At 35.1% G+C, this 23,427-nt stretch overlaps 1 protein-coding gene across 7 annotated transcripts in view, besides 1 other annotated feature; it reads left to right on the forward strand.

Moving 5' to 3' along the window:
• The window catches only part of UNC13C (unc-13 homolog C), a 795,839-nt gene that overhangs the window by 588,031 nt on the left and 184,381 nt on the right, over positions 1-23,427 (forward strand). The gene's annotated exons all lie outside the window — the stretch shown is intronic.
• Positions 16,090-16,259: an enhancer, noted in NCBI's record as "experimental_40047 CRE fragment used in MPRA reporter constructs". NCBI's record gives its function as "activates a minimal promoter by MPRAs in K562 erythroleukemia cells, with activity observed for the introgressed 15:54734005 variant allele {active_cell/tissue: K562}" and the evidence as "EXISTENCE:reporter gene assay evidence [ECO:0000049][PMID:34662402]".

Consider the following 23,427-nt stretch of genomic DNA (forward strand, 5'->3'; position numbering starts at 1 on the left):
ACTGCGTTCTATGGAACACTAAGTTAAAATTTCAGGGACTGCTTTGGTGGTAGCTAAGGTTCAGAGAAGAATGACTACTAGCCAGCTATTTTTTCCTCTGTTTGACATAGTGTGTTTATTAGTCATCTATGCAACAAATTATCACCAAAGTTAGTGCATAAAACAATGCAAATGCAAATATATCATCTTAGAGAATTTTGTAGGTCAGGAAGTCTGATGTGGGTTTCATTGGGTTAAATCAAGGTGTTGGTAGACAGCCTTTCTTTCTGGAGACTCTAGGAGAGAATCCATTTTCCTTTCTCTCACAAGCTTCCAGAGGCTTCCCACATTTCATGGCTGTGGCCATCTTCCAAATTCTTTGTCAGCAATATCCAGGTATTTTTCTCATGACTCTAACAATGACTCTCCTGCCTCCCTCTTCCACATTTACATGTCCTGTTGAGTACATTGAGCAGAACTAGAAATCCAGCATAATCTTTTGTCTTAAGGTCAGCTGATTAGCAAACTTAATTCCAGCTGAAGCCTTAATTCTTCTTTGTCATTTAACAGAACATATTCATATTCAGTAATCTGGGCATGATTTCACTGGGTCCTCTGTCCTAGAGTCTCTTACAGGCTGAAATGAAAGTGTCATACAGGACTTGGCCTCATCTGAAAGTTCAACTGGTGAAGGTTCTGCTTCCATATTATCTCGTATGGTTGTTGACAGAGTTCAGTTTCTCAAAAGTTATCACATGGATGGCCTCACTTCTTCCTTGGCATTTGGCCTGTGGCCACCTTCAGTATCTTTACAAGTAGTGCCCTCCAACATGGTGCCTTGCTTTATCAAAGTATGCAAGCCAAGAAACCAAGAGTCTGAAAACAAAAAAAAATAAAAGTTGTAATCTCTTATAACCCAATCACAGAAGTGAGAACTCATAACTTTTGTTGTATTTTAGTCATTAGAAGCAAGTCATTAGGTCAAGTCTATGTTTAAGGGAAGGGGACTACCCCAGAGGGGGTAAATAGTAAGAAGTAGAGATTATTTGGGATTATTTTAAAGGCTGCCTACCATGGAGTGTTGTTTAGTCTCAAAGACATTGGCTTTAGTCAGACAGGATGAGTACGAAAATCTGTCTCCATTACTTACCCGCCATGCAACACTGAGCAATTGTTTTGTCAACTCTGTACATCAATTTATTCTTCTGAAAAATCATATTGTTGTGAGGATTAAATTAGGTGCTACGTGTAAAATGGTTAGAGAATTTCCTGGTACATAGTAGTAAGTGCTCAAATATTAGCTTTGGTGATGATGATCATCAGTCTTCACTTGAATGAAGAATTCAGTGCTAAAACCTGAGTTAACCATTCAGCTAGATATATTCTAAAGCTATATCTGAATAAAGAATCTATATGTTTCATTAATGACCTACAAATTCAATTTTTCTACTCTTAGAATATATAAAGCATAACATTTTACAAATACCAGAGGATAATATGACCAAATAATTTCTTCCTTTACTATTGAAAATGTATATGATATGGTTTGGCTGTGTCCCCACTGAAACCTCAACTCGAATTGTGTCTCCCAGAATTCCCATGTGTTGTGGGAAGGACCCAGGGGGAGATAATTGAATCATGGGGGCTGGTCTTTCCCATGCTGTTCTCCTGGTAGTGAATAAGTCTCACAAGATCTGATGGGTTTATCAGAGGTTTCCACTTTTGTTTCTTCCTCATTTTCTCTTGCTTCCACCATGTAAGAAGTGCCTTTCTCTTCCCACCATGATTCTGAGGCTTTCCTCAGCTATGTGAAACTATAAGTCCAATTAAGCCTCTTTTTCTTCCCAGTCTCAGGTATGTCTTTATCAGCAGCATGAAAACAGGCTAAAACAGTATATTATTTTTCTGATTTAAAAACTTACAAAAAAATTGAAAAATACAAAGCACAAAGAACTTCAGAATTACCCAGTGTATTTATCCAAAAATTATGTATACACTTACATATTTGCTTTTCACACATTTAATACAATTTTATATAAAACATTTATAACTTTAATTTTACATAATAATTAACCAAAATACTTTTTGTGAAAGAAATTGTAGCTTATTATATTTTACTATTGACAACTTTTCTTTTTATAGTCATAAATGTTCTCGACTTAGTTATTTGGTCAGCCTATACCTACAGGTCAATTTTTTGAGGGGAAATGTTCATGGATTATAATGTTGTAAGTCCCTGCATGTCTGAAACTACCTCTGTTGTGCTTGAAAGACAGTGTGGCTAAGTATATAATTCTTAAGTGATACCTATTTTCTCTCAGAACCCTGTGGCTACTTCTCCATTGTCTTTTGGTATATAGGGTTATAGCAAAGAATTAGAAGACCAGAATAATTTTCTTCTTTGAACACAGCCTGTTCTGTTTTGTTTCAGCCTAGATGTGAATAATACCTTTTATTTATTTCAAGGTTGAAAATAAACTGAAGGGTTTCTTTCATTGTTAGTTGTGCCTAGTACTCCATGAGTGCTTAAACTTTGTAGACTCAGATATCTCTTTAATTCTAAAACATCTTTCTACTGTTTCTTTGTTTTGATCTGACAAAAATCAAATCATGTCTCTCTTCTGTTCATGACCCTTGTCACACACAGAATGAAATCCAGTCTTTACCCTGAACTGGAAGGCCCCGCATTGTTGCTGGAGGCCCTGTCTCTGAACTCATCTCCTTTGACTCCCAGCTCATCCCTTTGGGACAATCGCTCTGAACTCTTTGTCCTTCCCCAATCACATCATACAAACCTGTCCCTCAGGTTGTCTGCATATCTGTTCCCTCTGCTTGGACTACTCTTTTCCTGAATATTCACTTCAGGTTTCTGATAAGGAAATCCTTTACTACTTTATAAAATAGGAAAGTAGAGCCACCCTCAATCTATCAGCCACTGATATACTTGTTTATTGCCTGTTTCCCACCTTAGACTGTAAGCTCTGTGAAAGGGACTTTTCTGTGTTGTCTACTGTTATAACCCTAGCATCTAGAGAAGAATCTGTCATGTGGAAGGTAGGTACCTAACACGTGTTGCATGAGTAAATTCCTCAGTTTAGGTTCCTGGTATGGTCTCTGTGCTAGATCTGAAGTGGATATGAGTAAGTACAGCTGCAGAATCCCCAGGCAGTGTGCCCTTTGATCCCTTGTTTGCTTCCCCAAATATTGATAGATTGCAAATGTGCTTGTACTGTCCCATGGTGCTTCCTGACTCCTGCCCCACCCTTTCTCGGATTGGTGGTTGATCAATCACTGAAGGATTTCTGCCTCTTTCTTCACATGCTTCTCTCTCTTCCCCCCAGCCCCCAATCGGGTCCCGTATTTCCCATATATTGTATAATTCCTTAAAGTTTCTTGCATGTGAATGCTATTCTTCTCTAGAGTCTAGGCTTTTAAAGGATTTTGTAGCAATGAAATGAAACAGTGCTCAAAATGCTTTATTATATTTACGGAGTTGTGCAATCACCATTATAATTTAAATTTATTCATCATTGCAAAAAGAATCTTTGTACCATTAGCAGCCACTCTCTGTCTTTCCCTCTCATTGAACTGTAGACTTTAAATGGGTAAACTTTATGATATATAAATCATATTTCAATAAAAAGTAATTTATAAGTGAAAGTATTATACGAATGTTTTTAATTATTGTGATTGAAAGAGCAATACAGAAATTCCTGAGGACAAGTTAAAGCATTATTCTTTTATGAACTTCCCATATTTTTCCACGTCTTTATCTTTTTAAAAGTGTAATGATTTCTAATGTTATCACATTATCCATAATTTTCTCAAATCACAACAGTTATTTCCCACAAATGATAAAAAGCAGTATAGAAACATATAGTTATATTTAGCCTTAACATATTAACTATAACTAGTATTTCTCCCATCATTTCTTTAATCAAATTCATTTATGTATAGCATAATAGAGGTGGATAATTTCCATTATAAATAGGTATTGATATTTGTGAATATTTATTCACTTGTAATTTTAATCAGATTTTTTCCTAATTGAATTCTACACAAGGTACATTCAGATTTTATCATTTACTAATTTTTATTATTTATCTCCATGGGAATTTGATATTGACATATTGAAGGCAGTGTAATGACAGCATTGCCATTTTGCTATTCCTTTAATTTATTTCTATTTGCCTAAGGAGAACTATGTCAATCACTCTGGGAGTAAGTAACAGAAAGTAAAAAGTAATATAGTTGTGGATAAAATGTAAGTGATTTGATTTGGAGAATAAAACTGAATTTTAATGGTATTTTATCTTTTATACTTAAAAATGCATATGGTACATCAAAATGCACACTTGTAACTAAAACACTTTATTTCCAAAATAATATGCCAATTTGAGGGTGGGAACATGGGAGCAAATGTTTGTATAACTATCGCTTATTTTTTACAGTATTCTATACATTCAGCATTTTTTTAATTTAACCCTAAGATAACCTCTAATCTAATAGTATGTTGACATGTTTGATAAGTGAAAATTTCAGATTCTATATTCAGATTTTTGTGAATAAGAAAAAAGCTATTCATTCTATTTTTTAAGTTGTGCTTTATCAATTTTTGTACCACTTACGGTGATAAAGCATTTTTACATTTAGTTTTTTACTCTTCAAATTATGAAAGTGTCTGGAGCATATTGGTTACTGCTTGATGACCAAGTCCAACTGATATCAGCTATTAAAACTTTTGGAAAATTTGTGGTCAGTTGTAAAAGAAATCCAAAATTATTTTACTACTACTCTTTTCATGCTTCTTTCGTATTGAATTTTGCCTCTCATTTATATGTTTGGATTTTTTTTTGCTTTCTTATCATGCTGAAGGTTTAGACATTTTTTAATGTGTTAATTGCTCAAACTCATTAGCCTGTTAAGCCTCTCAACATCATATAAGGTAAATCAGCATTAAATATTAATAGAAATTAAGGTACACAGAGGTTAAACAACTTGTCAAATTACATTTTCTATACCATTGCTGTTAAAGGAGTTATCTTAAGTCTTGTTTTATCTTGTTTAAATTTGCACTAACTGAATAAAATTTTGCATGAGAATTTAAAACACATTTTGTTTTCACTGCACTAAATACTATCTCAGGAATTTCAAGAACTAGAATGAGCTTTCTGGGAAATGGAGGTCTTTCATTCAGTTATTCCACTGGGAGGTTCTGGCATTTGACAACAATATTTAAATAGCTAATGTAACTGAGGGAACAGTTGGTGAGTGGGTTTGAACAAATCTTGCCTCCTTAGTGATCCAAGTCTTCCCACGGGAAATTTCAGATGTCATGAACCATGTTGCAACTTCTCTTTAGAGAAAACCTGGGCAGAAGATGGTACACCCAAAGCAGTTACATTAACACTTTTTACTTCCTACTGCCCTTGCAAACAAAGTAATTTGTTAAGTCACTACTCAATCAAGAATATTCAGAATAATTATTGCTGACGGAGTACTGGACTTGGAGATTTATTTTTTGAATGTTTGCATTTGTTAAATTATATATCCAAGAAATTTAATGTATAAAGCAGAAATTCAGGTTTATAACATGTGCAAATTTCCTGGAATAATTAACAATTTTAAATATTAGATATTCTTAAATATTGTGTCGCCATATTGGGGGATCATCTCTGCCAACTTTACTTCTCTGAATCACAAGCTTTTTTTTTCTGCCTTGAGAGCCAATACTTTTTCTGTGCCTTCACAGTAGTTCTGAGAACTTATCTCCTTTTTCCATTAATGGCTAAATATTTGGAATGTCTAATAGGGTATCTAATATGCAATATCACATATTGTCAGTACATATTAGTATATTAGAGTGTACAACTATCTGGTTTTATCTTAAACTCTGAAATTTGATGTCAAATATTTTTATTGTTTCACTATTCTTGCAAAATCCAATTTTTATAAAACAGATCTACTTAAAGTTAATATGCGCTGCAGTCTATGTAATATGAATTAATTGCCACTGAGGAAGTATTTTTCAAGACTGTTGGTTATACATTCTTCACATTACTTTCTTTGGTAAAAAACTTCTGTATAAATTGGAAAATCATATGTGCAATAAGCACAAGCTCAGAGAATTAGACCATATGGTCTCTGTAGCTATAATACTTGGAGGTATCAGATAGTCATTCTTTAAGATCATTTTAAAAATCTACTGCACAGATTCTTTCTAGAGATCACATTAATCAATTTTTACATTTCAAAATAGCTAGAAGAAAATAATTCATATATTCCTAGAGTAACAAAAAGATAAATATTAAGGTGATAGATATTCTAATTACCCTAATTTGATTATATGAATATATCAAGTTAGCACATGTACCCTGAAAACATGTACATCTATTATGTATCAATAAAATAAACAATTTTTAAAGATATGATTTCTATATATTTATATTTAAATACATTTCTAACAACCACAAAAATGTTACTCATTTGACCATTTAATAAGCTAATATTTAAATAGCTACTCTGTGTCAGGCACTGTGCTAAGTACTTGGGACAATAAAGACATAGAATCTCTGCCCTAATAGAGTCCATAGAGTCAGGGAGATAGGTATTTAACAATTATTCTTGCTTATTTAAGTAAGAGCGACTGTGATACCTGTTAGAAAAAATGAGTGTGTGGTGTTAGAAAAATAATTGAGAGGGGCATTTTGTCAGGTGATTCAGAAAAGCGTTCCATAAGGAAGTGATTTTTGTGCCAAGATTTCACAAACAAGCAGGATTTAACCAGTTGAAAAGGGTTTGTGCAATCAAATTAGAACTCAGGATTAAGAAACTCACTCAAAACCGCACAACTACCTGGAAACTGAACAACCTGCTCCTGAATGACTACTGGGTAAATAACAAAATTAAAGCAGAAATAAATTATTTCTTTGAAACCAATGAGAACAAAGACACAACGTACCAGAATCTCTGGGACACAGCTAAAACAGTGTTAAGAGGGAAATTTATAGCACTAAATGCCCACATCAGAAAGTGGGAAAGATCAAAATCGACACCCTAACATCACAATTAAAAGAACTAGACAAGCAAGAGCAAACAAATTCAAAAGCTAGCAGAAGACAAGAAATAACTAAGATCAGAGCAGAACTGAAGGAGATGGAGACATGAAAAACACTTCAAAAAAATCAATGAATCCAAGAGCTGGTTTTTTGAAAAGATTAACAAAATAGCTGCTAGCCAGATGAATGAAGAAGAAAAGAGAGAAGAATCAAATAGACAAAATAAAAAATGAGAAAGGGGATATCACCACTGATCCCACAGAAACACAAACTACCATCAGAGAATGCTATAAACACCTCTACACAAATAAACTAGAAAATCTAGAAGAAATGGATAAATTCATTAACACATATATCTTCCAAGACTAAACCAAGAAGAAGTTGAATCCCTGAATAGACTAATAACAAGTTATGAAATTGAGGCATATCCTACCAACCAAAAACAGCCCAGGACCAGATGGAGTCACAGCAGTATTCTACCAGAGATACAAAGAGGAGATGGTACCATTCCTTCTAAAACTATTCCAAACAATAGAAAAAGAGATTCCTCCCTAACTCTTTTATGAGGCCAGCATCATCCTGATACCAAAACCTGCCAGAGACACAGCGAGAAAAGAAAATTTCAGGCCAATATCCCTGATGAACATCTTTGCAAAAATCCTCAATAAAGTACTGGCAAACCAAATCCAGCAGCACATCAACAAGCTTATCCACCACGTTCAAGTCAGTTTCATCCCTGGGATGCAAGTCTGGTTCAACATATGCAAATCAATGAACATAATCCATCACATAAACAGAACCAATGACAAAAACCACACAATTATCTCATTAGATGCAGAAAAGGACTTCAATAAAATTCAATACCCCTTCATGCTAAAAACTCTCAATAAACTAGGTATTGATGGAACATATCTCAAAATAATAAGAGCTATTTATGACAAACTTATAGGCAATATCATACTGAATGGGCAAAAGCTGAAAACATTCCCTTTGAAAACTGGCACAAGGCAAGAAGGCCCTCTCTCACCGCTTTTATTCAACGTAGTATTGGAAGTTCTGGCCAGGGCAATCAGATACGAGAAAGAAATGAAGGGTATTCAAATAGGAAGAGAGAAAGTCAAGTTGTCTCTGCTTGCAGATGACATGATTGTATATTTAGAAAACCGATTGTCTCAGCCCAAAATTCCTCAAGCTGATAAGCAACTTCAGTGAAGTCTCAAGATACAAAATCGATGTGCAAAAATCACAAGCATTCCTATATACCAATAATAGACAAGTAGAGAGCCAAGTCATGAGTGAACTCCTATTCACAATTGCTACAAAGAGAATAAAATACCTAGGAATACAACATACAAGGGACATGAAGGACCTCTTCAAGGAGAACTACAAACCACTGCTCAATGAAATAAGAGAAGACACAAACAAATGGAAATAAATTTCATGCTCATGGATACAAAGAATCAATATCGTGAAAATGGCCATACTGCCCAAAGTAATTTATAGATTCAATGCTATCCCCATCAGCTACCATTGACTTTCTTCACAGAATTCGAAAAAGACTACCTTAAATTTCATATGGAACAACAACAAAAAAAAGCCCATATAGCCAAGACAATCCTAAGCAAAAAAACAAAGCTAGAGGCATCACACTACCTGACATCAAACTATACTACAAGGCTATAGTAACCAAACAGCATGGTACTGGTACCAAACCAGATGTATAGACCAATGGAACAGAACAGAGACCTCAGAAATAACACCACATATCTAAATCATCTGATCTTCAACAAAATGACAAAAAGGAGCAATGGGGAAAGTGTTCCCTATTTAATAAATGGTGTTGGGAAAACTGGCTAGCCATATGCAGAAAACAGAAACTGGACCCCTTTCTTACACCTTATACAAAAATTAACTCAAGATGGATTAAAGACTTAACCATAAAACCGGAAACCATAAAAACCCTAGAAGAAAACGTAGGCAATACCATTCAAGACATAGGCATGAGCAAAGACTTCATGACTAAAACACTGAAAACAATGACAACAAAAGCCAAAATTGACAAATGGGATCTAATTAAACTAAAGAGCTTCTGCACAGCAAAATAAACTATGATCAGAGAGAACAGACAACCTACAAAATGGGAGAAATTTTTTGCAATCTATCCATCTGACAAAGGGCTAATATCCAGAAACCGCAAAGAACTTAAACAAATTTACAAGAAAAAACAACCCCATCAAAAAGTGGGCAATGGATATGAACAGATATTTCTCAAAATAAGGCATTTATGCAGCCAACAAACACATGAAAAAAAGCTCATCATCACTGTTCATTAGAGACATGGAAATCAAAACCAAAATGAGATACCATCTCACGCCAGTTAGAATGGCAATCATTAAAAAATCAGGAAACAACAGACGCTGGCGTAGATGTGGAAAAATAGGAATGCTTTTACACTGTTGGTGAGAGTTTAAATTAGTTCAGCAATAGTGGAAGACAATGTGGCAATTCCTCAAAGATCTAGAACCAGAAATACCATTTGACCCAGCAATCCCATTACTGGGTATATACACAAAGGATTATGAATCATTCTATTACAAAGACACATGCACACATATGTTTATTGCAGCACTGTTCACAATATCAAAGACTTGGAACCAACCCAAATCCCCATCAGATAAACTGGATAAAGAAAATGTGGCACATATACACCATGGAATACATACAGCCATAAAAAAGGATGAGTTTATGTCCTTTGCAAGGACATAGATGACACTGGAAACTATCATTCTCAGCAAACTAACACAAGAACAGAAAACTAAACACCATATGTTCTCACTCATAAGTGGGAGTTGAACAATGAGAACACATGAACACAGGGAGGAGAACATCACACACCAGGTCCTCTCGGTGGGTGGGGGTGGGGGACTAGGGGAGGGGTAACATTAGTAGAAATACCTAATGTAGATGATGGGTTGATGGGTGCAGCAAACCACCATGGCACATGTATACCTATGTAACAAAACTGCACGTTAGGCACATGTATCCCAGAACTTAAAGTATAATAGATTTAAAAAATAATAAATAAAAATAAAAAAAGAAACTATCATCAGAGTGAACAGGCAACCTACAGAATGGGAGAAAACTTTTGCAATCTATCCATCTGACAAAGGGCTAATATCCAGAATCTACAAGGAACTTAAATAAATGTACAAGAAAAAAAACAAAACAAAACAAAAATCAAAAAGTGGGCAAACGATATGAACAGACACTTCTCAAAAAAAGACAGTTATGTGGCCAAGAAACATATGAGAAAAAGCTCATCATCACTGGTCATTAAAGAAATGCAAATAAAAACCACAATGAGATTCCATCTAACACCAGTCAGAATGGGGATCATTAAAAAGTTAGGAAACAGCAGATGCTGGAGAGGATGTGGAGAAATAGGAATGTTTTTACACTGTTGGTGGGAATGTAAATTAGTTCAACTATTATGGAAGACAGTGTGGCTACTCCTCAAGGATCTAGAACTAGAAACTGGTAATTGTTTCATGACTAAAATATTATGAGCATAATCAAATAGCTAAAGATGGACAAGTATTTCCTCTAGAAATACCATTTGACCCAGCAATCTCATTACTGGTTATATACACAAAGGATTATAAATCATTCTGCTATAAAGACACATGCACATGTATGTTTATTGCAGCACTATTTACAATAGCAAAGACTTGGAACCAACCCAAATGCCCATCAGGGACAGACTGGATAAAGAAAATGTGGCACACATACTACACCATAGAATACTATGCAGCCATAAAAAAGGATGAGTTCATGTCTCTTACAGGGGCATGGATGAAGCTGGAAACCATCATTCTCAGCAAACTAACACAGGAACAGAAAACCAAACACTGCATATTCTCACTCATAAATGGGAGTTGAACAATGAGATCACATGGACACAGGGTGGGGAACATCACACACCAGGGCCTGTCGAGGGTTGGGGGTCAAGGGGAAGAAGAGCCTTAGGACAAAGACCTAATGCATATGAGGCTCAAAACCTAGATGATGGGTTGATGAGTGCAGCAAACCACCATGGCACGTGTATACCTATGTAACAAACCTGCACGTTCTGCACATGTATCTCAGAACTTAAAGTAAAATTAAGAAAATAAAAAGAAAAATTTAGAACAATAAAAGGAATAGAAAAAATGCATTTTTGCTATGCAGTTATCGTATTAATTTTTTAATGAAAAAATTATAAGCAAAAAGTACGTAACAAAATGTTTTTATTTAAGCTGCTGGTTTTCAATATTAACACTGACCCTGTTAGCCCATAGCCTGCAAAATTTGAAATTTACATTTCTCTGATGGCTGCCTACAGTGAGATTATTTAGTTTATGTGCATATGCATTCACCGATTTGGCATGTCTGGTAACAAACTTGTCTTTTCCCCATTGTAAAATCAGTATCCCCTTGGATAATTGCTTTCACTGGTCACCGTTTTGCCTCAAATATTTTTTGTGTGTGTTGGCAAATCCCCAGAAAGTTCCAAAAGAGGAAATACATGTCCATCTTTAGCTATTTGATTATGCTCATAATATTTTAGTCACGAAACAATTACCAGCTGGCAAGCTTTACATACATATTCAATAGCATCTAAATATTGTTGTTACATCTATTATATAAGCTTCAAAGGAACTCACTCAACAGATGCTCTAAAATTTATAAAACTTGTAACTCTCAAAACATTGGGGCTTCTTGGTAATATAATCTGAGTCTAATCTATGACTGATTTGATTGTTCACATTACAGCTTTTCCTTCCTTAGATCTATCTAGTTTGTTTATTTTTGAGGTTCCCACATGTTCCATTTCTTCAGGATTGAGCCATTTTCCTGTAAGTCACGCCACAAAGTTTAATGATACAATAGCTTTTGAGGGGAGAGTCTTGCTAGGTTAGTTAGCACTTAAGGCATATCAGAGAGTAGTCAGTTAGTCCAGTTCTGATCGATTGCAAACAGGAACACTGTTGACAAGGAACAATAATGATCACTCAAGGTCACACAGGTGGTTAGAACACAGACGACATGTTTGAACCCATATATGCAGAGTATATCCAGTATGGTTTCTCCTATACATTTTATAGGATCATGATTAAGACCAAGTTTTGAAATCCATGAAATTAAAAGGATTTTAAGTAAGGTACTTACAAGCAGCTCAAGGTTTTGCTACCTTTTAGGTATACGATAAAAGCCATGTGTCATTCCTATGTCCTTTAATCTCTTACCTTGTATTCTTTGACTATCTAAAACTCTTACATTTTTCTAGTTAGCAGGAGTAAGTGCATTCATAAGAGGGAACTAGGGTAAAATACACTTCAAGTCATCATCAGTTTAGTCTCTTTACAACATATTTGGTGAGGTTACTCTTAAGGAAAGCCTATAGACTCATCTATAGAAAAAAAAGGACACATGTCTGGAACAGCTCACATTAACTTTTCAATGTAAAATCACCTATCCAGCAGGTGTAGTCCCATAGAACTTCTAAACTGCATAAAGTCAGTGACTGCATCCTTCCAAACTCAATGGATTCTCTGAAGCGTGTCTTCTAATGGCTCTGATTCCTCTACTAAAATATGGATGGAATATAAAGACGCCCAACTGTTTGCTCTTCTTCTAGTAAAGACTACAAGATATGTCCATGTCTACAAGAGAGCTGCATTTTAAACATTGAATTCTTTTGTCTAAGTCTTTGTGTTCACCAATTGTAAGCAAGCACATTTTTAAAATGTAGATTTAAACGGGGTTGACCACTCTGCTCTAGTCAACATAAGGAGTCCTCTTTCTTAGTTCCTGGTTACATATAACTAGAATCTTCTTCCAGTCTCTAAAATGGCAAGCAGAGCATACCTTAATGTTTATGTTCTTGCCATCAAGGCATAATTTCTCTAATTTGTTATCTAGGTAAAATTTCTCAATCTCTTAAACTGCTTATAATTTATACAACTGTGAGTTGCAATTAGTACCTCTAGAGAGCTGGTGGTGAGGAAATATTTCTAGAATCCCACCAGCACATCAAGAATTTATCCTCTCCTCAAACCTGTTCTTTCTCCTGTATATCCTATTTTTAATTGTACTTGACAGCTTCACTCTGACCTCAATAACCCTTCAAGATCGCTAAGTAACATTAAGTTCTTCCCTCACCTTTACACTTTACTCAGAGTCCAAGCTCTTAACTCAATACCTTGTGTTGTTTGTAAATAGCTTACTGAAATATATTTTTTAATTTAATGGGTTTTAGAAGTTTAACTTATAAAGTTCTCACCCTTAAGTATCTGGTTCTCTTACCCCTTCTTCTCATACTTACCTGTTACTGCACTAGATCAGGACAACATTATCTTCCCATAGAATCCTTCCTAGAAGCCAGGCTGCTCAAATTACCTATGTTCTGCTGCTGTATAAAATCCATCTAAACTCAACGCATCTCTCTCACAATCTCTGTTACATGGAATAGTTTGAAATACAAAACACTTCACTGGGATACCAGGAATAACAGTAGTAAGTCCAAAATCTTTTAAACAAATTAATTACCTAATCCTTCATGAAAGTGCCATTTATGTGTAGGTGTGTTACTACTCCCAAAAGATCAGTAAGAACCCAGTGCCTTTGGTAGGTTTCTTTCGACTATGTAATCTAGAGTTTACAGTAAAATATATAAAATAGGATAAAATTCTCTTCTTCAAGGAAAATGAAAGTTGATAATGATAATTTTGATAATTTTGAAGTTATTTGACTTGTATATATTGCTCAATTATAATAGAAATAAATTTTAAATTTTAAATTACCAAGATCCTACAATCCTATTCTCTAGTCCTACATAAGCATACAAAATTTTATATAATTGTAATAATAGCATAGATGCATTTATGTATTTTCACATATTTTTAGATTTTTGCATATTGATACAAAGTCTCAAGTTTTTTTATCAATATGTGATATTTGTACATATTTATGGGGTACATGTGATATTTTGTTCCATGCATATAATATGCAAGGATCAAGATAGGATATTTAGGGTATCCATCACCTCAAATATTTATCATTCCTATGAATTGGGAATATTTCAAATCCTTGCCTCTAGCTATTAATATTTTGACATACACAATATATTATTGTTGACCATTCTCACACTACTCTGCTGTTGAACATTAGAACTTATTTCTTCTATCTATGGTTGTAACCATTAACCAACTTCTCTTCATTTCACCCCCACTCCTACCCATACACTCTTCTCAGTTTCTGGTATCTCTCTCTCATGGTTTGGCTGTGTCCTCACCCAAATCTCATCTTAAATTGCAATCCCCATAATGTATCAAGGCAGGGATGGAGTGGGACGTTATTGGGTCATGGGGGGTGGGTTCCCCCATGCTGTTTTCTTGATAGTGAGCGAGTTCTCACAAGGTCTGATAGCTTTATAAGTGTCTAGAATTTCTCCTGCCTCCACTTCTCTCTCCTCCTGTCATGTGAGAAGGTCCAAGGTGCTCCCCCTTCACCCTCCATCATGATTGTAAGTTTCCTGAGGCCTTCCCACTTTACAGAACTGTGAGTCAATTAAACTTATTTCCTTTATAAATTACCCAGCCTTGGGTATTTCTTTATGGCAGTGTGAAAACAAACAAATACTCTCTAATGCTATGAGAATCACCTTTTTAGCTCCCATATATGAATGAGAACAGGCAGTACTGTCTTTCTGTGCCTGGCTTATTTCACCTAACATAATGACCTCCAGTTTCATTCATGTGGCTCCAAATGACATGATTTCATTATTTTTTATGGCTGAGTAGTATTCCATTGTGTATAAATACCACACCATCTTTATCCATCCATCCATTGATAGGTACTTGGGTTGGTTCCATATCTTTTCTATTGTGATTAGTACTGGAAAAAAGATGGGGCTGTAGATATCTCTTTGATGTAGATAATTTCCTTTACTCTGAATAGATACCCAATAGTGGGATTGGTGGATCCTACAGTAGTTCTATTTTTAGATTTTGGGGAAATCTCTATACTGTTTTCCATAGTTGCTATACTAATTTACGTTTCCACCAACAACGTATAAGTGTTCCCTTTTCTCTGTAACCCTGCCAGCATCTATCATTTTTTAATCTTTTTAATAATAGCTATTCTAACTGGGATAAAATGATATCTCATTGTGGTTTTGATTTGCATTTCCCTGATGATTAGTGATGTCGAGCATTTTTAATATACATGTTGACCACTTGTATGTCTTCTTTTGATAAATGTCTATTCATGTCATTTGACTACTTTTTGATGAGATTATTTATTTTCTTACTGTTGAGTTATTTGAGTTCCTTCTATATACTGAATATTTGTTCCTTGTAAAATGAATACTTTGCAAATATTTTCTCTCATTCTGCAGATTGTCTCTTTACTCTGTTGGTTATTTCATTTGCTCTGCAGAAGTATTTTAGATTAATATAGTCCCAGTCCCATTTGTCTTTTTTTCTTTCTATTGCTTGTGCTTTTGAGGTATTAGCCCTGAAATCCTAGCCTAGACCAATATCCTGAAGTGTTTTCTTCAAGTTCTCTTCTAGCAGTTTTATTATAGTTTCAGGTCTTATGTTTAGGTGTTTAATCTATGTTTGGTTGATTTTTGTATATGATGAGTGATAGGGGTCCAGTTTCGTTCTTCTACATATAGATGTCTAACTTTTCTAGCACCATTTATTTAAGAAGTTATTCTTTTCCTGATATATGTTCTTGGCACCTTTGGAGGGAATCAGTAGGCACCCTTATCAAAAATCACTTAGCTATAAATATGTGAATATATTTTAGGGTTCTCTATTGTGTTCCATTGTTCTATGTGTCTGTTTTCATACCAATACCATGCTATTTTGTTGACTATAGCCTTGTAATATGTTTTGAAGTCAGATACTCTGATATCTCCAGCTTTGTTTTTTGATCTGAATTTCTTGGGCTATTTGGTGTCTTTTGTGGCTACATAGGAATTTTAGGATTTTTTTTTTCATTTATTTGAAAAACTACGTTGGTATTTTAATAGTGGGTACACTTAAACTATTGGTTGATTTACGTGTATGATTGTTTTAACAATATTTCTTCTTCTAATCCATGAGCATAAGATATCTTTCTATTTGTGTCATTTTCATTTGCTTTCATCAGTGTTTTGTAGTTTTCATTGTGGAGTCTTTTATCATCTTTGTTTAATTTATTCTTAGGTATTTTTTTGTAGCTATTTTAAATGGGATTTTCTTCTTTCTTTTTAAACTAGTTCATTATTATTGTATAGAAACACTACTGCTTTTGTGTATTGACTTTGTATCTTGTAATTTTATTAATTTGTGTATACATTTTAAGAATTTTCTGATAGAGTCTTTTATTCTTTTCCAAATATAATGTCTTCCACAAAGAGAGATAATTTGACTTATTCTTTTTCCAATTTTGATGCCTTTTTTTCTTTTTCTTGCCTGATTGCTCTAGCAAGGACTTCCAGTACTAAATTGAATTGAATGAAATTAGGCATCTTTCACCACTTGTTCCAGTTCTTTTTTTTTTTTTTTTTTGAGACAGGATCTCACTCTGTTGCCCAGGCTGGAGTGCACTGGCTCCCAGATTCAAGCGATTCTTCTGCCTCAGCCTCCTGAATAGCTGGGATTACAGGCATCTGCCATCATGCTCAGCTAATTTTTGTATTTTTGTAGAGACCAGGGTTTCACAATGTTGGCTAGGCTCGTCTTGAACTCCTAACCTCAGGTGATCCACCTGCCTCAGCCTCCCAAAGTGCTGGGATTACAGGTGTGAGTCACCACGCTCAGCCCCAGTTCTTAGAGGAAAGGCTTTCAGACTTCCTCACCCAGTATGATGTTAGCTGTGGGTTTGTCATGTATAGTCCTTATTATGTTGAGTTATGTTCCACTATGCCTAGTTTATTGAGAAGATTTATCATGAAAGGATGCTTTTTCTACATCCATTGAGATGATCTTTTTTGTCTTTCATTCTTTGATGTGATGTATCACATTTATTGATTTACATATATTGAGCTATCATGGCATTCCTGGGATAACTTGTTCATATTGTGCTGTCTTTGTGATGTGCTGTTGGATTTGTTAGCTGGTATTTTGTCGAGGACTTTTGTATCTATGTTCATCAGGGATATTGGCCTGTAGTTTATTTTTGTTGTTGTGTCCTTTTCTGGTTTTAGTATCGGGGTAATTCTGGCCCCATAGAATTCACTGGAAATAATTTTTTCCTCTTAATTTTTTGGTAATAATTTGAGGTTAATTGGTATTAATTCTTCTTTATATATTTGCTAAAATTTGAGAGTGAAGTCATCTGGTTATGGGCTTTTCTTTCTCCACAGACTTTGTTACTGATTCAATCTCATTGCTCACTGTTGATCTGGTCAGGTTTTCTATTCTTCCTGATTCCATCCTGGAAGGTTATATGTGCCCAGGAATTTATCCATTTCCTCTAGGTTTTCCAGTTTGTTAGCATATAGTTGTTCATAATAGTCTCTGATGATCTTTTACATTTCTGTAGTATCAGTTATAATGTCTCTTTTTTCAATTTTGACTTTGTTTATTTGGATCTTTTTCTTTTATTCTTGGTTCATCAAGCTAATGGTTTATCAATTTTATCTTTTCAAAAATCCAATTTGTTTCATTGATCCTTTGTATTTTTTAGTCTCTCTTTTGTTTAGATTTAGTCTGTTGTTTATTATTTCTTTCTTTCAACTAATTTCGGATTTGGTTTCTTCTTGCTTTTCTTGTTTCTTGAGGAGCAGCATTAGATTGTTTATTTAAAAATCTTTTTACTTTTTTGATGTCAGCATTTATTGCTAAAAATTTCCCTCTTAGCACTGCTTTGACTTTATCACATATATTTTGCTATGCTGTGTTTCTATTTTTATTTGTTTCAATAAACTTTCTGATTTTCATCTGGATTGCTTCATTGACCCAATGATCATTCAGGAGCATGATTTATAAATTTTCATGTATTTGTGTAGTTTCCAATAGGTCCTCTTTGTATTGATTTCTAATTTTATTTTATTGTTGTATGAGAAGACACGATGTCATTTTGATTTTTAAAATTTGTTGAGACTTGCGTTGCAGCTTAACATATACTCTATCTTGGATAAAATTTCATATACTGATGAGAAGAATGTATATTCCGTAGCTGTTGAATAAAGTGTTCTGTAAAGGTATATTAAGTTCATTTGCTCTAAAATTTAGTTTAATTTCAAAGTGTATTTGTTAATTTTCTGTCTAGATGATCTGTCTAATACTGACAGTAAGTTCCCTACCATTATTTTATTGGAGCCCATCTTTCCCTTTAGATCTAATAATATCCACTTTATATATCTGGATACTCCAGTATGGTTACATATATATTTAGAACTGTTATGTCCTCTTTCTGGATGATCCCTTATCATTATATAATAATCTTCTTTGTTTCTTTTTATAGTTTTTATTTTACTTAAAGTATGTTTTATCTTGTGTAAATATGACTTCTCCTGCTCAATTTCGGTTGTTGTTGACGTGGAATATCATTTTTCATTCCCTTACTTTTGATAAATGTATATATATACACAAATATATGTCATATATATACATATATATAATATGTCATATATAGTCATGTATATACATATATATGTATATGACATTTGTATATGTCTTTTCCATTCCTTTACTTTGAGTCTATATATGTCAGATAACAGGAAAAGTGATCTTTTGTAGGCATGATATAACTGTATCATGTACTTTTATCCATTCATCCAGTCTATATCTTTTACGTAGGAAAATTTAATTTATTTCAATTCAAGGTTATCATTGATATATGAGATTTTGTTCCTGGTATATTGTTAATTGTTCACTGGATCATTTGTATATCCTTTGTTTCACTTTTTCTCTCCTATTATTTATTATTGTGGTTTGGGATTTTCTATAGTCATAACATTTACGTCCTTTCTCTTCCTAATTTTTTTGTGTGTGCTCTACCAGTGGGTTTTATCCTTTTGTGCATTTTTATGATGGTGGATGTCATCCATTCACTTCCAGGTGTAGAACTGGCTTAAGAGTTTATTTTTTATATATATATTACTTTTATATATATGTATTTTTTATTGTACTTTAAGTTCTAGGGTACATATGTACAACGTGCAGGTTTGTTACATATGTATACATGTGCCGTGTTGGTGTGCTGCACTCATTAACTCATCCTTTACATTAGGTATATCTCCTAATGCTATCCCTCCCCCCTCCCCCCACCCCACAACAGCCCCTGGTGTGTGATGTTCCCCTTCCTGTGTCCAAGTGTTCACATTGTTCAATGCCCACCTATGAGTGAGAATATGCAGTGTTTATTTTTTTGTCCTTGCGATAGTTTGCTGAGAATGATGGTTTCCAGCTTCATCCATGTCCCTATAAAGGACATGAACCCATCATTTTTTATGGCTGCATAGTATTCCACGGTGTATATGTGCCACATTTTCTTAATCCATTCTGCCATTTTCAGACATTTGGGTTGGATCCAAGTCTTTGCTATTGTGAATAGTGCCGCAATAAACATACATGTGCATGTGTCTCTGTAGCAGCATGATTTATAATCCTTTGGGTATATACCCAGTAATGGGATGGCTGAGTCAAATGGTATTTCTAGGGAATGGGCACACTGTCTTCTACAATGGTTGAACTAGTTTACAGTCCCACCAATGGTGTAAAAGTGTTCCTATTTCTCCACATCCTCTCCAGCACCTGTTGTTTCCTGACTTTTTAATGATCTCCGTTCTCACTGGTGTGAGATGGTATCTCATTGTGGTTTGCATTTCTCTGATGGCCAGTGATGATGAGCAATTTTTCATGTGTCTGTTGGCTGCATAAATGTCTTCTTTTGAGAAGTGTCTGTTCATATCCTCTGCCCAGTTGTTGATGGGGTTGTTTTTTTCTTGTAAATTTGTTTGAGTTCTTTGTAGATTCTGGATATTAGCCCTTTGTCAGATGAGTAGATTGCAAAAATTTTCTCCCATTCTGTAGGTTGCCTGTTCACTCTGATCGTAGTTTCTTTTGCTATGCAGAAGCTCTTTAGTTTAATTGGATCCCATTTGTCAAGTTTGGCTTTTGTTGCCATTGCTTTTGGTGTTTTAGACATGAAGTCCTTGCCCATGCCTATGTCCGGAATGGTATTGCCTAGGTTTTCTTCTAGGGATTTTATGGTTTTAGGTCTAACATTTAAGTCTTTAATCCATCTTGAATTAATTTTTGTATAAGGTGTAAGGAAGGGATCCAGTTTCAGCTTTCTACCTATGGCTAGCCAGTTTTCCCAGCACCGTTTGTTGAATAGGGAATCCTTTCCCAATTTCTTGTTTTTGTCAGGTTTGTCAGAGATCAGATAGTTGTAGATGTGTGGTATTATTTCTGAGGGCTCTGTTCTGTTCCATTGATCTATATCTCTATTTTGGTAACAGTACCATTCTCTTTTGGTTACTATAGCCTTGTAGTATAGTTTAAAGTCAGGTAGCGTGATGCCTCCAGCTTTATTCTTTTTACTTAGAATTGACTTGGCAATGCAGTCTCTTTTTTGGTTCCATACGAACTTTAAAGTAATTTTTTTCCAATTCTGTGAAGAAAGTCATTGGTACCTTGTTGGGGATGGCATTGAATCTATAAATTACCTTAGGCAGTATGGCCATTTTCACGATATTGATTCTTCCTATCCATGAGCATGGAATGTTCTTCCATTTGTTTGTGTCCTCTTTTATTTCGTTGAACATTGGTTTCTAGTTCTCCTTGAAGAGGTCCTTCACATCCCTTGTAAGTTGGATTCCTAGGTATTTTATTCTCTTTGAAGCAGTTGTGAATGGGAGTTCACTCATGATTTGGCTCTCTGCCTGTTATTGGTGTATAAGAATGCTTGTGATTTTTGCACTTTGATTTTGTATCCTGAGACTTTGCTGAAGTTGCTTATCAGCTTAAGGAGATTTTGGGCTGAGATAATGGGGTTTTCTAGATATACAATCATGTCATCTGAAAACAGGGACAAGTTGACTTCCTCTTTTCCCAGTTGAACGCCCTTTATTTCTTTCTCCTGCCTGATTGCCCTGGCCAGAACTTCCAACACTATGTTGAATAGGAGTGGTGAGAGAGGGCATCCCTGTCTTGTGCCAGTTTTCAAAGGGAATGCTTCCAGTTTTTGCCCATTCAGTATGATATTGGCTGTGGGTTTGTAGTAAATAGCACTTATTATTTTGAGATACATCCCATCAATACCTAATTTATTGAGAGTTTTTAGCATGAAGGGCTGTTGAATTTTGTCAAAGGCCTTTTCTGCCTCTATTGAGGTAATCATGTGGTTTTTGTCTTTTGTTCTGTTTATGTGCTGGATTACGTTTATTGATTTGCATGTGTTGAACCAGCCTTGCATCCCAGGTATGAAGCCCACTTGATCATGGTGGATAAGCTTGTTGATATGCTGCTGGATTCAGTTTGTCAGTATTTTATTGAGGATATTTGCATCGATGTTCATCAGGGATATTGGTCTAAAATTCTCTCTGCCAGGCTTTGGTATCAGGATGATACCTCATAAAATGAGTTAGGGAGGATTCCCTCTTTTTCTATTGATTGGAATAGTTTCAGAAGGAATGGTACCACCTCCTCCTTGTACCTCTGGTAGAATTTGGCTGTGAATCTGTCTGGTCCTGGAATTTTTTTGGTTGGTAGGCTATTAATTATTGCCTCAATTTCAGAGCCTGTTATTGGTCTATTCAGAGATTCAACTTCTTCCTGGTTTAGTCTTGGGAGGATGTATGTGTTGAGGAATTTATCCATTTCTTCTAGATTTTCTAGTTTATTTGCATAGAGGTGTTTATATTATTCTCTGATGGTAGTTTGTATTTCTGTGGGATCGATGGTGATATCCCCTTTATCATTTTTTATTGCATCTATTTGATTCTTCTCTCTTTTCTTCTTTATTACTCTTGCTAGTGGTCTATCAATTTTGTTGATCTTTTCAAAAAAACCAGCTCCTGGATTCCCTGATTTTTTGAAGGGTTTTCTGTGTTGCTATCTCCTTCAGTTCTGCTCTGATCTTAGTTATTTCTTGCCTTCTGCTAGCTTTTGAATGTGTTTGCTCTTGCTTTTCTAGTTCTTTTAATTGTGATGTTAGGGTGTCAATTTTAGATCTTTCCTGCTTTCTCTTGTGAGCATTTAGTGGTATAAATTTCCCTCTACACACTGCTTTATATGTGTCCCAGAGATTCTGGTATGTTGTGTCTTTGTTCTCATTGGTTTCAAAGAACATCTTTATTTCTGCCTTCATTTCGTTATGTACCCAGTAGTCATTCAGGAGCAGGTTGTTCAGTTTCCATGTAGTTGAGCGGTTTTGAGTGAGTTTCTTAATCCTGAGTTCTAGTTTGATTACACTATGGTCTGAGAGACAGTTTGTTATAATTTCTGTTCTTTTATGTTTGCTGAGAAATGCTTTACTTCCAACTATGTGGTCAGTTTTGGAATAAGTGCGGTGTGGTGCTGAGAAGAATGTATATTCTGTTGATTTGGGGTGGAGAGTTCTGTAGATGTCTAGTAGGTCCGCTTGGTGCAGAGCTGAGTTCAATTCCTGGATATCCTCATTAACTTTCTGTCTTGTTGATCTGTCTAATGTTGACTGTGGGGTGTTAAAGTTTCCCATTATTATTGTTTGGGAGTCTAAGTCTCTTTGTAGGTCCCTAAGGACTTCCTTTATGAATCTGGGTGCTCCTGTATTGGGTGCATATATATTTAGGATAGTTAGCTCTTCTTGTTGAATTGATCCCTTTACCATTATGTAATGGCCTTCTTTGTCGCTTTTGATCTTTGTTGGTTTAAAGTCTGTTTTATCAGAGACTAGGATTGCAACCCCTGCCTTTTTTTGTTCTCCATTTGCTTGGTAGATCTTCCTCCATCCTTTTATTTTCAGCCTATGTGTGTCTCTGCACGTGTGATGGGTTTCCTGAATACAGCACACTGATGGGTCTTGATTCTCTATCCAATTTGCCAGTCTGTGTCTTTTAATTGGAGCATTTAGCCCATTTACATTTAAGGTTAATATTGTTATGTGTGAATTTGATCCTGTCATTATGATGTTAGCTGGTTATTTTGCTTGTTAGTTGATGCAGTTTCTTCCTAGCCTCGATGGTCTTTACAATTTGACATGTTTTTGCAGTGGCTGGTACCGGTTGTTCCTTTCCATGTTTAGTGCTTCCTTCAGGAGCTCTTGCAGGGCAGGCCTGGTGATGACAAAATCCCTCAGCATTTGCTTGTCTGTAAAGGATTTTATTTCTCCTTCATTTATGAAGCTTAGTTTGGCTGGATATGAAATT

Source organism: Homo sapiens, chromosome 15 (assembly GCF_000001405.40).
Source record: "Homo sapiens chromosome 15, GRCh38.p14 Primary Assembly".
Lineage (NCBI taxonomy): Eukaryota > Metazoa > Chordata > Mammalia > Primates > Hominidae > Homo > Homo sapiens.